At 44.8% G+C, this 13,497-nt stretch overlaps 1 protein-coding gene and 1 long non-coding RNA gene across 27 annotated transcripts in view; one reads left to right on the forward strand and one right to left on the reverse strand.

Annotated features, from left to right (window-relative positions):
• Positions 1–3,353, forward strand: part of HERC6 (HECT and RLD domain containing E3 ubiquitin protein ligase family member 6) — a 64,246-nt gene extending 60,893 nt beyond the window's left edge. For all 5 annotated transcript variants that reach the window (XM_005263083.5, XM_011532053.4, NM_017912.4 and 2 more), the window contains 3 exons: positions 130–313; positions 404–506; positions 2,490–3,353. In XM_005263083.5, the coding sequence (XP_005263140.1) occupies positions 130–313; positions 404–506; positions 2,490–2,716 (514 nt within the window). In that variant the 3' untranslated portion in view covers positions 2,717–3,353. The remainder of the gene's footprint in view (positions 1–129; positions 314–403; positions 507–2,489) is intronic.
• Positions 1–13,497, reverse strand: part of LOC102723458 (uncharacterized) — a 56,224-nt gene that overhangs the window by 28,262 nt on the left and 14,465 nt on the right. For 8 of the 22 annotated variants that reach the window (XR_001741760.2, XR_938965.3, XR_938972.3 and 5 more), the window contains exon 2: positions 2,721–2,778. The exons of 7 other annotated variants lie outside the window; for them this stretch is intronic. This is a non-coding gene — a long non-coding RNA (uncharacterized LOC102723458). Of the gene's footprint in view, positions 1–2,720; positions 2,805–13,497 lie in introns of those variants that run through there. 7 more of the 22 variants (XR_007058186.1, XR_007058176.1, XR_007058187.1 and 4 more) reach the window with 1 other exon arrangement.

The raw sequence follows: 13,497 nt of genomic DNA on the forward strand, positions 1-13,497 counted from the left end.
TTGTGCTATATAGAAGTAATTTACTTTTCCTTCTCAATAGAAATAGTAAAAAGAACAAAGTATAAAATCTTTTAATCATTGGCCTTTTCCTTCCTTTCTTTTTTTTTTTTTTTTTTTGCTTCCCTCAAGGAGAGACTATGTTTCTAAGTATATTGATTACATTTTCAACGTCTCTGTAAAAGCAGTTTATGAGGAATTTCAGAGAGGATTTTATAGAGTCTGTGAGAAGGAGATACTTAGACATTTCTACCCTGAAGAACTAATGACAGCAATCATTGGAAATACTGATTATGACTGGAAACAGTTTGAACAGGTAGGTGATACCTAAAGTGCCCCAATTTTTCCGAACAACTTCTATATATTCCACCCCACTCAAATCATTTTTCTCCCTCTTTCTCTCAAGAATTCAAAGTATGAGCAAGGATACCAAAAATCACATCCTACTATACAGTTGTTTTGGAAGGCTTTCCACAAACTAACCTTGGATGAAAAGAAAAAATTCCTCTGTAAGTACTGTGGTACTAGATGGACACATAATTATGTATCTTTTAAAAAGGTACAGTCTTGTTTAGAATGAAGCCATTGAAGTGGCCTCATTGTCTGGGGTGACACCCAAGGTTCTTTGTCTCACAGCCATGGAGATCAAGGACATGGACACACACAAAGGGTGAGGTATAGAGCAGAAACTTAATAGGCGAAAAGAGAATAGCTCTCTGCTACAGAGAGGGGTCCCAGAAAAATGAGTTGCTGATCTGTGGTGAAATGCAGGGTTTTTTATAGATGAGCTAGTGAGGAGGTGGTGTCTGATCTACATAGGGCATGAAAAACGAGTTAGGACCAGGTGTACCATCCGCATAGGGCACGAATCTCTGGCAGCCCCTACCCCAATCTTTGATTATACAGGTGGGTAGCTACTCCATGGTGCTTCTTTCTTACTGTGCATGTGCTAAAAAAGGGGGGAGGTGGAACCCCCATGGTGGACATGCCTGGTCCCAGGTTGCCCTTTCTATTGGTGGAGCTGCTGGCATTCCCCCGTGCTAGCTTCCAGCCTTCTTATCTATGTTTGCAGCCCGATATTCCAGGCTGCTCTTTGTTAGAAAAGAAGTGATTTCTTGGACTGCTTTTTGTTAGAAGGGAAGTTCTGCTGAGGACTCTTTTGCCCTCACTATCTGCCTAAAATAATTTTCTATCTCTGTATCACCATTCTTGCAGGTGGGTCACATGTGTTAGTGGCAGAGCAAGGATGAGAACCCAGGCTCCCTACCTTCTAGACCAGCATTCTTTCTCTTACTCAAGCCTGTTTCTTTTTTTTTTTAAGTAGAGATTTGCTAATTTACTACTTTTTCTACACTGACTTTTTCTGCACCCTCTTTCCTCACTTCAGCTGGCTCCTAAGCCTTTTATCTCATGTTCCTATCTTCATCTAATTATCTAAGTCCTATGATGTTCGAATGATGCCAACTATCTGTTTTATAGTAATATATCATTTAGAAATAATAATGGCAACAACAACTGATGATAATAATAGCAGCAGCAGCATTTACTGTGTGCTTATTCTGTGCCATGCACTATGCTGACTGCTTTGTATCTATTACCTACCTTTTTCCTAACAGCAACCCTACGAGGTAGGTACTATTCTTTTTTCCCCGTTTCAGACATGAGGAAAAAGAGGCTTGGAGCATTTAGTAGCTTGCCCATGTTCAGACAGCTGGTAAGTATGGGAACCAGAATAGAATCCATCAGGCTGACTCCAAAGCCCAGGCTCTTGAGCACTAAGCTCTGTAGCCTCATGGTATAAGAACTTCTCTTGGTGGGAACCCTAAGGTTTCTCTAGGGCAGACTTAATGACTTCTCTCACCATCTCATCCCATTTGTCAGCTCTTCCTGAGTTACACATCTTTCTTCTTGATATTTTTGTTGCTACTAAGGATGCTGGAGGACAATTCCAACTTGTCCACAGATCCAACCTATTTCTCTATAAGCCCAAGCTGCCTTTCTAATCTTCTCTCTTAATGGGAAACTTTTGATTCAGCCCAGTGGTTCAGCTGTCTGTACACCCCATGAGTTCACTTCTTCCCACCTGTGGCTTTTTCCTGAGCTTTGTCCCCTGCCTTGAAAGCTCAGCCAAATCCTGTCTTGAGAAATAGCCTGGTGTGACCTCTGTGAAGTCTCTCTGACCACTCAGCCTGGTGTTTCTCTCCCTGCTGAATCCTTTAAGCTCCTAACCTCATTCTTCCTAGATGAGCTAAATAAACTTCCTTCTTGCTACTATCTTTTCATGCATATAATTTTCCCCCAACTACACCATGAACTCATTGAGGACAAAGACCAAATGTCATGATTTTTATACATTCAACATGGTCTAGGACAGTTCTCTCTGCCTAAGGACATTCAATAAATACTTACTGAATGAAGTGATTAATTTCTTCCTTTTCATTATGTTTTACTCTTTCTATGAAATATCTTAACCAAATTTTATTCCTTTCTAGTTTTCCTTACAGGACGTGATAGGCTGCATGCAAGAGGCATACAGAAAATGGAAATAGTATTTCGCTGTCCTGAAACTTTCAGTGAAAGAGATCACCCAACATCAATAACTTGTCATAATATTCTCTCCCTCCCTAAGTATTCTACAATGGAAAGAATGGAGGAAGCACTTCAAGTAGCCATCAACAACAACAGAGGATTTGTCTCACCCATGCTCACACAGTCATAATCACCTCTGAGAGACTCAGGGTGGGCTTTCTCACACTTGGATCCTTCTGTTCTTCCTTACACCTAAATAATACAAGAGATTAATGAATAGTGGTTAGAAGTAGTTGAGGGAGAGATTGGGGGAATGGGGAGATGATGATGATGGTCAAAGGGTGCAAAATCTCACACAAGACTGAGGCAGGAGAATAGGGTACAGAGATAGGGATCTAAGGATGACTTGGACACACTCCCTGGCACTGAAGAGTCTGAACACTGGCCTGTGATTGGTCCATTCCAGGACCTTCATTTGCATAAGGTATCAAACCACATCAGCCTCTGATTGGCCATGGGCCAGACCTGCACTCTGGCCAATGATTGGTTCATTCCAGGACATTCATTTGCATAAGGAGTCAAACCACACCAGTCTTGGATTGGCTGTGAGCCAATTCACCTCAGTCTCTAATTGGCTGTGAGTCAGTCTTTCATTTACATAGGGTGTAACCATCAAGAAACCTCTACAGGGTACTTAAGCCCCAGAAGATTTTGCTACCAGGGCTCTTGAGCCACTTGCTCTAGCCCACTCCCACCCTGTGGAATGTACTTTCACTTTTGCTGCTTCACTGCCTTGTGCTCCAATAAATCCACTCCTTCACCACCCATTCATGCATGTCGCTCAATTCTTTGTTCAACACACCAAGAACCTGCACACCTCATTATCAGAACCCTTAACCTAGTAACATATTTTGGCAAGCCAGTCAGGAGGTAAGCCTAAATTTGGGGATTTATTTTCTTTTATTCTATTGAGATTCCATTTGTGGCCATGGGCTGGAACTAAACTCCACATGGGACTCTCTCTGTCTCTCCCCTTCTCTTTCTTTCCCTTTTCCAACTTGGGACCCTTGGCAGGCAGCATTCTAAGCACAGAGACAACTGCAGGTCTCTTGCTAGGGCCACTGTCTGGTGAGACTGAAAGGTTTCCGTGTGTAAGCACCTAACCATCATCGCCTGCTTCAGGTGGGGTCCTGAGTCCTTTTCTTTTTAGTCCTTCAGCAGCCATTTCCCAGTAGCTCGTTGGTAATTGAGGGCAACTGGCCCAGGCCACTCTCCAGTGTTGCCTGAAAGCCAAAGAGTGAGTGGGGTTAGCTGCCCGGCCTGGAAGTGGGATTCTTTTCTATCTTTCCTGGTTATAGTTCCTGAGCCCTACATGTGATGCAACTGGCAGTGGCGGCTTGTCCAGGGTGAATACATAAACATTTCAGGTGCCTTTAACCCTCCTTTTCTTATGCTAAAATTCCCTCGTAGAGTCAGCCTGTCAGGGAATGCAACAAATAGGGGCACAAGATAAATCCCTACCGCCATGAGGTGCATGTTTTTGTGACTATAATATTATATTTATTTGCTGCTTGTGTTGGGATAACATGTTTAGACCAATTAGAGATGTACCCCAAACCCAAAGGGCCAGGGCAATAGGTAACTGACTATGGAGGCTCCAACAGCAAACATTAGCCTAAAGGTTAGGGACCAACCACTTGGATAGGGAAAGTGCTGTGCTTCTTTTGTAAGGGACCACTTCTAGATCATTTGAGTTTAGTAGATCTGGTACTAAGAGAAGAATCCTGGTGGAGACTCTTGGATCACTGTATAAATTGCACAGTGGATCCATGGGGTAATCTCTGCTCCTGGTTTATCTGGTACAGTCAGAGAGCACCATGCTCCCTTATTGAGAGGCCAGTCTCCAACAAGTTTAAATTAGGCAGTCTGCCATCCCTTGCCCTTCAAACTGTACTTACAACAATGGTTAAGGAAACCATTTGGGAAGAAACTATTGTGGCCAGCTACAAGGATGCCAAAAGCCAAGAACCATATCCAAGAACGAAGGGAATCATACTAGGCCATTGTCTATGAAGGGAAAGCATTCAAAGCAGCACTGGTGCCCACCTAAGGTCAGAGATGTCTGACACTCTAAGATTGGACCCCAAAGGGGGACTCCTTGGGAGATCCAATCCTAGGCCACAACCTCTCTGAAGGGGAAGACCCTAGATGGAGGTTCTGAGGTCTAGTATTAAACCCTCCTCAGAACTTTTTCTCTCTTACAAACAACAATAGGAAATACTCCATCCATACCACCTGACTCCCCACTCAGCTGCATCCTCAATAATTGGAACCAATTTAACCCTGACAATATAGTAGGGAAACATTTGTTTTTTTTACTGTAATACTGTTTGGCCCCAGTATCCTCTAGATAGCCAGGAGCAATGGCTAGTCAATAGGAGTCTCAGTCATGACACTATCCTGCAATTAGACTTATTTTGTAAAAGGCAGGGTAAATGGTCAGAAATACCATGTTTAAGCCTTTATGGCCCTGCACCAAAACCCTTCAATTTGTAAGGCTTCCAAATTTTGCCCTCAAAGAGAAAAAATTCCTAAAGTAGAACCAGATGTTATAGATGACCCCTTTCTGCAAGGGCCACTGTTTCTTAGGGGGAACTGTAACCACCTCCATACAACCCCTTGCCAAGTGCTCCTGAGGATCAAACCCAGGAACAGGAGCCGGAAACTCCACTAAGTTCCCCCACACACTTCCAGGGGAACACCTTATTCAATTCCCTGTCCAGCTCTATTTCCCCCAAGGGAAGTAGCAGGAGTTGAGGGGCTAATCTAAGTGGAGGCCCCCTTCTCCATAACTGATATACAGCAATGAAAGGATAAGTTAGGAATTTATTCTGAGAACCCCAGGAGATTTGCAGACGGCTTCCAAACTTTAACCTTAGCCTTCGATCTCTCACAGAAAGATGTTCAATGTATCCTGGCAACTTGTTGCACTCCTCTGGAGAAAGAATGTATTTCTGAGGCCGCCCAACGTGAAGCAAACAAGCTGTTTGCCGGAAACTCCGAGGGCAATTGCCTGGGCCCAGATACAGTCCCCATCACTGACTGTAACTGGAACTATAACACCCCTATGGGAATGAACAACCCAGCCAAATTCCTTGAAGCTCACCTGGGAGGAATGAGAAAGGAAATGACTAAGGCAGTAAATTAAGGGAAATTACACAGGTTAAGGAGGAAAGCTATATTTTATAGTGGATTGGAAAAGGCTTTTAAAAAATACACCAACCTGGACCCTCCCCCTCCTGAAGGCAAAGTACTAATGGCACAGGATTTCATTAGCCAAGCTGCCCTGGACATTAGGCATAAAATCCAGAAGCTACACATGGGACCACAAACTAATCAAAATCAGCTTATTGATACCACCTGCATGGTATATAACAAACGTGATCTGGAGGAAGTGGAAAGGGAATACACTAAAGAAAAACAGCCAAAATTATGGCAACTGTCACTGGTGATGCCCTAAATGCCCAAAAGTCATCCAAGGAAAACCCAAAGGGTCCCAAGGACAATGCCGGCAAAAGCTCTGGTTACAAGTGCAAGAAAAGTGGGCACTAGGCAAAGTACTGCACTAAGCCCACGCAGGGCCTGTGCTGCCAATGTGAGGGCACCAGTCGTGACCTCTGGCACTGGATAATTGACTGCCCCTGCTCCCACCAAGGGGCTCCATCAGTCAAAACTCTAGCAGCACATAAGGAGGGATCAGATGAAGACTCATGGGACCCAGGGACATCATCACTACCACTTAGGATCCCTGGGTAACTCTGGATGTCATGGGCACCAAAATTAATTCACAGGCCAAGCAGCAGCTTCACTTGGAATGGCTGAATTCTATAGGATACAAATCCCAAATTTCGGGCACATAGCAAAGCCCCTTTACAAGGCAACAAGGGGACCTTAAGATGAGCCAATGGAATGAACCCTAGAAATGAGGGAGACTTTCACCAAGTTAAAACGGGCTCTCAGCCAGGCTCGTGCACTCAGCATTCCAAACCTCACCAAGCCCTTCCTGTATGTAGCAGAAAAGAAAGGCATAGCTGTGGGAGTGCTTACTCAGAAGTTGAGAACAGAGCCTAGGCCCATTGCATACTTTTCTTTTTTTTGAGATGGAGTCTTGTTCTGTCTCCCAGGCTGGAGTACACTGGCACAATCTTGGTTCACTGCAACCTCCAGCTCCTGGATTCAAGTCATTCTCCTGCCTCAGACTCCCAACTAGCTGGGATTACAGGTGCCTGTCACCACCATGCCCCAGCAGATTTTTGTATTTTAATAGAGACCGGGTTTCACCATGTTGGCCAGGGTGGTCTTGAATTCCTGATCTCAAGCAATCCACCCACCTTGGCCTCCCAAAATGTTGGAATTACAGGCGTGCGTTACTGTGCCCAGTTGTTGCATACTTTTCAAAGAAATAAGACAGTAGCCACCAGGTGGCCCAGCTGCCTGCAGGCAATAGCAGCCACTGCTATTTTGGTTGAAGAAGCTATTAAAATTACTATAGGCTGGCCAGGTGTGGTGGCTCATGCCTGTAATCCCACCACTTTGGGAGGCCAAGGTGGGCGGATCACCTGAGGTCGGGAGTTGGAGACCAGCCTGACCAACATGGAGAAACCCTGTCTCTACTAAAAATACAAAATTAGCCGGGGGTGCTGGCACATGCCTGTAATACCAGCTACTTGGGAGGATGAGGCAGGAGAATTGCTTGAACCCGGGAGGCGGAGGTTATGGTGAGCCCAGATCGCACCATTGCACTCCAGCCTGGGCAACAAGAGCAAAACTCCGCCTCAAAAATAAACAAATAAATAAATAAACAAAAATTACTCTAGACCAGCCACAACTCCCCACCAGTCCTAGAAATAAAAGGACATATCTGGATGACAGGAGAAAGATTAAATACGAGGTGGCACTCCTAGATAATCCAGAGATCACAATTAAGACCTGTAACACCTTAAACCCAGCTCTATTAGTCTGTTCTCATGCTGCTAGTAAAGACATACCTGAGACTGGGTAATTTATAAAGGAAAGAGGTTTAACTGACTCACAGTTCCACATGACTGGGGAGGCCTCACAATCATGGCTAGTGGAAGGCAAAGGAGAAGCAAAGTAATGTCTTACATGGCAGCAGGCAAGACAGTGTGTGCTGGGGAACTCTCCTTTATAAAACCATCAGATCTAGTGAGACTGATTCACTATCATGAGAACAGCACGGGAAAGACCCACCCCCATGATTCAATTACCTCCCACTGGGTTGTGGCAGGCCAATTCTCCCTGACAATCACACAGACAGGCCTGTATAGCACTCCAGTTACACTGACAGATTTCCACAGCACTGCCTTAACATTTAGCAAATAGTTAAGCCTAGGGAAACTGGTGCCCAGACATCAAAGCTAGAAATGAAACATATGTCATATGGTCAGTAGGTTTCTCCCTAACCCGGAGCAAGTCAAAATAATAGAGACAGTCTTACATTCCTAGTGCTAGGACCCATCTCGGGTTGACGGAATCTGAGACAGTTCAAGGTAATGGTGGCAGCTGTGTGAATAGATTCATTAGAGAGTCTAAGGCAGCTCTCTGGACCAAGCTGCAAAGGAGATAAGATAGAAATAATCACTCTGGTACCACAGTAGACAGGCCTTGAAGGTTCTGGGGCCCTTTTAATCAAACTTAGCAAGCATTTTTTGCTTCTGTCCTTCTAGTTGAAACAAAATTAGCTACAAATAGACTTAGGTGAATGCTATACTGCACGTAGGCACATAACCCCAACCTATACATGCACTAAGAAAATTGTAACACTTTGGGTTGGTCTGGTGGAATTATCTCTGGCCTTCTCCCTGTATCCAGTTATATCAATAAATTCCATTCTTTCCTAGTTTGTCTGCTTCTCCTTATTGGGCCTTGAGAAAACGCAGCCAGACCCAGCTTGGTTCTGGGAACAGGGTCCCTCCCATGACACATGGAAATTATGGGAGCTACAGTTCAAGATGAGATATGGGTGGGGACACAGCCAAACCATATCATCAGCTGCACTGCTACCTATGGGCACCATAACCAATCATTCCTGTGAGCAAATCATTGTACACAGATATGGGAGCCAGCCTCTTTTATCTTTTAGAACAGCCTCTTCCAGACCCTGTGGATAACTGGTTTATAGACGGCAGCAGCTTTGTGCTAAACAGGGAGCACCAAGCTGGATATGCAATAGTGAATTACACCATTTTTGAAGTCCAGCTACTGCCCCCAGGCACATTGACACAAAGGCTGAGATCATTGTTCTTACTCAAGCATTAAGGTTGGGACAAGAGGCTGGCGCAGTGGCTCACGCCTGCAATCCCAGCACTTTGGGAGGCCGAGGCAAGTGGATCACCTGAGGTCAGGAGTTCAAGACCAGCCTGACCAATATGGTGAAACCCCGTCTCTACTAGAAATACAAAAATTAGCCGGGCATGGTGGTGTGTGCCTGTAGTCCCAGCTACTTGGGAGGCTGAGGCAGGAGAATTGCTTGAACCTGGGAGGTGGAGGTTTCAGTGAGCTGAGATCGTACCACCACTGCACTCCAGCCTGGGCGACAGAGCAAAACTCTGTCTCAAAATAAATAAATAAATAAATAAAGGTTGGGACAAGGAAAGAAAGCTAACATCTATGCAGATTCTAAATATGCATTTCTTGTGGTTCATGCTAATGCTGCAATTTGGAAAGGAGACTACTTACTAGCAAGCACTCCCCCATAAAACATGGGATTCTTCAGCTATTGCAGACAACATTTGCCAGAGGCCATAGCCATTATTCATTGCAAAGGGCAACAAAAGAATCTAACTCCTATAGCACAAGGGAACAAAAAGGAATCCAAGGCAGCAGCCCTCAAGGTACAGTCTCAACAAGTTTTAGCACTACTCCTTTTTTATGACCCCCCAATAGAACCTGAGTACACCTCACAGGAAGAACATCTAATAAGACAACAAGGAGGAATGAAACAGGGATCTTGGTGGTATAAGGGATCAAAAATAAATCTTCCCCAAGCAGCCCAATGGAAAATCATAAAAGCCCTGCATAACTCTTTCCATGTGGGAAGAGACACAACTTTGGCCATGGCAAACAAGCTCTTCACTGGATCCAACCTAGCTTCCATGGCCAAACAGGTCTGTCAAGCCTGCTCACTGTGTGCATTAAACAACCCAGGAAACAAAGTGCCTCCTTTAACAGAGCCAATCCAAAGAGGGAGAACTTACCCAGGGTAAGACTGGCAATTGGACTTTACCCATATGCCAGCCTGTAAAGGATTCAAGTTTTTACTAGTACTGATAGAAACCTTTATTAGCTGGGTTGAAGCTTACCCTTCCAGAACAGAAAAGGCCAATGAAGTAGTGAAAATTCTCTTAAAAGAAATAATCTGGCTAGGGACGATGTCTCACACCTGTAATCCCAATACCTTGGAAAGCTGAGGCAGGCAGATCACTGAGCCAGAAGTTCAAGCCCAGCCTGGGCAACATGGCGAAACCCTGTCTCTACGAAAAAAAAAAAAAAAAATTATCTGGGCACGATGGTGCATGCCTGTAATCCCAGCTACTCAGGAGGCTGCGGCACAGGAATCATTTGAAACAAGGAGGTGGGGCTGCAGTGAGCCAAGCACACTGCACTCCAGCCTGGGCAACAGAGTGAGGCTCTGCCTCAAAAAAAAAAAAAAAAGAAAGAAAGAAAGAAAGAGAAATAATCCCTTGGTTTGGGCTACCCCAGAGCCTTCAAAATAACAGCTTATCTTTTGTCTCCCAAATAACTCAAGGGGTTGCTAAGGCCCTCAGGATCAAATTTACATTCAGCATGGAGGCCTCCATCCTCCAGGAAAGTAGAAAAGGCTAATCAAACTCTAAAATGGGCATTAGTTAAACTGTGCCAGGAGATGTCAGAGACTTGGGTTGACTTGCTCCCCACATCCCTCTTAAGGATCCGTAATTCCCCTCAAGCAAAAATTAATCTAAGCCCATATGAAATATTATATGCAAGGCCATCTTTAACTAATGATCTAATCACTGATCCAGAAACAACCAGTTTAGTAAAATACCTAATTAACCTGGGACAATTTCAGCAGGATTTACAAAAGTTTGGAACCCAGTGGTTCCCTGTACTGGGAACTAACCAGCAACCCAAAATTAGGCCAGGAGGTAAGGTACCGGTGAAAACATGGAAAGAGGAATCATCTGCTCAACAGCTACAACCCAAATGGAAGGAACCATTTTCAGTGGTGCTGGCCACACCTTCCATGGTCAAGGTACTAGGGTTAGATAATTGGATACATCTTTCCAGCATCAAGCCTGCCATACCAGAAGTTCCCGGACCCCGAACGTGGAACTCCCACCAGCCACTATACCTGTGAACCTGTGGAAGACCTGAAATACCTGTTTAAAAGAATGGCTAAAAGATAAGTAAAGGCCTACTAACTTTCCTTGGTGTCTTTTCTGTGTGTTCGTGGTAGTTGGGGTAATACTAGTTTTTCTTACATTATTAAACTGCCTTTTCCCAAGCAGGTAGGATCATTTCCTCTGCCCTAGTAGAATCCTATCCTGTAGGACTTAAAGGAAGCAAAATAACAAAAAGGTACATTCATACCCACAATGATTTGCTATAGGCCACACACACTGGGATCATGCATATTGGGAATTGGCTTAATTCTACAGCAGGGCCTTGATTTACCCTCTGACCATTAGGTGACCCTCAGTATTTACTAAGAACCTTGAATCTAACACAAAGACTGTTAAACACCACCAGCCAAGCCTTGTTTTTTTGTTTTTGTTTTTTGGGTATTTTTTAGTAGAGACAGGCTTTCACCATGTTGGCCAGGCTGGTCTTGAACTCCTGACCTCAAGTGATCTGCTCGCCTAGGCCTCCCAAAGTGCTGGGATTAGAGGCATGAGCCACTGTGCCTGGCTGCCAGCCTAGCCTTAGTAAAAACATTGTTGGCTTTGCTTATCCCCATACTCCTCCAGGTACACTGCTATCCCAGTCCCAGCACGATATTGGGCCCTTGAAAAAATGACTTATCACCCTGCCTACAAAGGAGGAACTCTCTTCAAACTAATAAACTTAGATGACTTATACAACCAAATTACAGACATGACAAAGGTTACAATGACAGGACGAGCAGTAAACCTCCTGCAGTCCTATCAGAGCAACCTCTCTAGGGTTACATCCTCAGAAAAGCCCATCTAGGGCCCAATATCAACACACACAGAGCTAGAATTCCAGGTACACTCTGTGTCAAAAGGAGCCAAAAGTCCAGTCAGGTCCTGGGGACCTTGAAGAGTAATCAGTGCAACTACACTCTGGAGATTAATCCCTCACACAATCATGTAAATTACACAACTACCCAAACTACATGATTTAGAAAACCTGTATGGTTTTCACGGAAACCATTCCTAGTTAAGGGCATCTTAAAACATATTCGGTCTAAGTACTGTTAAGGGAAGCCCCCTAGCTGTGTCCACACTTTTCCTTGGGAAGACTGCATTAGCCCTGAAATTCACCTCTAGCTGTCTTTTGGTTCTCCATTATGAAAATACTCCCAGGTGGTTGTTGGTGGACGCCAAGAGCAGCTACCTCCACTGGGAAAATAAAACCACTGGGGCAACCCAACTTTGCAAGGCCCCTTCCCGTCGTCAACAGGGGCCACCTTAGCAGGGACCTTAACTACTTGGGAAAGCAAAAATAACAAACTAACCCATATGTTCACCATAGAAAACAATTTCTGTCTTGAAAAACGGGGAGCATTTTTCCTGTGCAGGACCAGCTCCTACTTACGTTTACCTGCCAATTGGACTGGAACTTGTATACTTGTTTATTTAGCCCCTGAAATTAATATAGCTCCCGATAACCAATCTCTCACTGTATCTTTGACTGCAACCACCAGACACAAGCAAGCCATCCAACTCATACCCCTTTTAGTAGAGCTGGGAGTAACAGCAGGAATAGGAACAGGAGTTAACGGGCTGGCAACTTCCCTATCCTACTACCAGGGCTTGTCCATTGATTTCATGGAAATCTTGGATGACATTGCTCAAAGTATTGTCATCAGACAAAATCAAATAGGCTCCCTGGCAGTGGTCACTTTGCAAAATAGAAGGGGACTAGACCTCATAACCACTGAGAAGGGAGGCTTATGTCTTTTCCTAGAGGAAGAATGCTGTTTCTATGTCAACCAATCAGGAATAGTAAGGGATGCCACCTGAAAACTAGCTGACCAGGCCGCTAAGATACAACAGCTGTCGGAATCATGGGGCTCCTGGTCAAGGTGCTGGGCTGGGTGTCATGGTTCCATCCCCTAGCCAGACCGTTGCTAATGGTTATACTGGCCCTGGTCTTTGGCCCATGTTTGCTAAACCTTTTAACCAAGTTCATTTTCTCTTGCCTAGAAACCATTTAGCTTCAGATGATTGTGCGACAAGGTTTCCAGCCAGTGCCAGGTAAAGGCACCACCTCTGGCCGTCAAAAGGTTACTCTGTCTCCACAAGACAAAGCAGGGCGAGAGTTCTGTGGTCCCCAGCAGGTAAGGCCAGCGTGCTAAATCAGCAGGAAGCAGTTACAAAAGAAAAGACCATCAGTCCCTCTGCCTCCCATAAAGATTTCTAGGGATCATGTCTCTCAGGGGGAAAATGAGGCAGGAGAATAGGATCCAGAGATAGGGAATCTAAGGATAACTTGGACAGACTCCCTGGAGCTGAAGAGTCTGCACACTGACCTATGATTGGTCCATTCCAGGACCTTCATTTGCATAAGGTGCCAAACCACATCAGGCTCTGATTGGCCACAGGCCGGTACCTGCACTCTGGCCAGTGATTGGTCTATTCCAGGCCCTTCATTTGCATAAGGCACCAAAACACACCAGTCTTGGATTGGCCATGGGCCAATTCACCTTGGCGTGGAATTGGTCAC

This window comes from Homo sapiens, chromosome 4 (assembly GCF_000001405.40).
Source record: "Homo sapiens chromosome 4, GRCh38.p14 Primary Assembly".
NCBI classification, from domain to species: domain Eukaryota; kingdom Metazoa; phylum Chordata; class Mammalia; order Primates; family Hominidae; genus Homo; species Homo sapiens.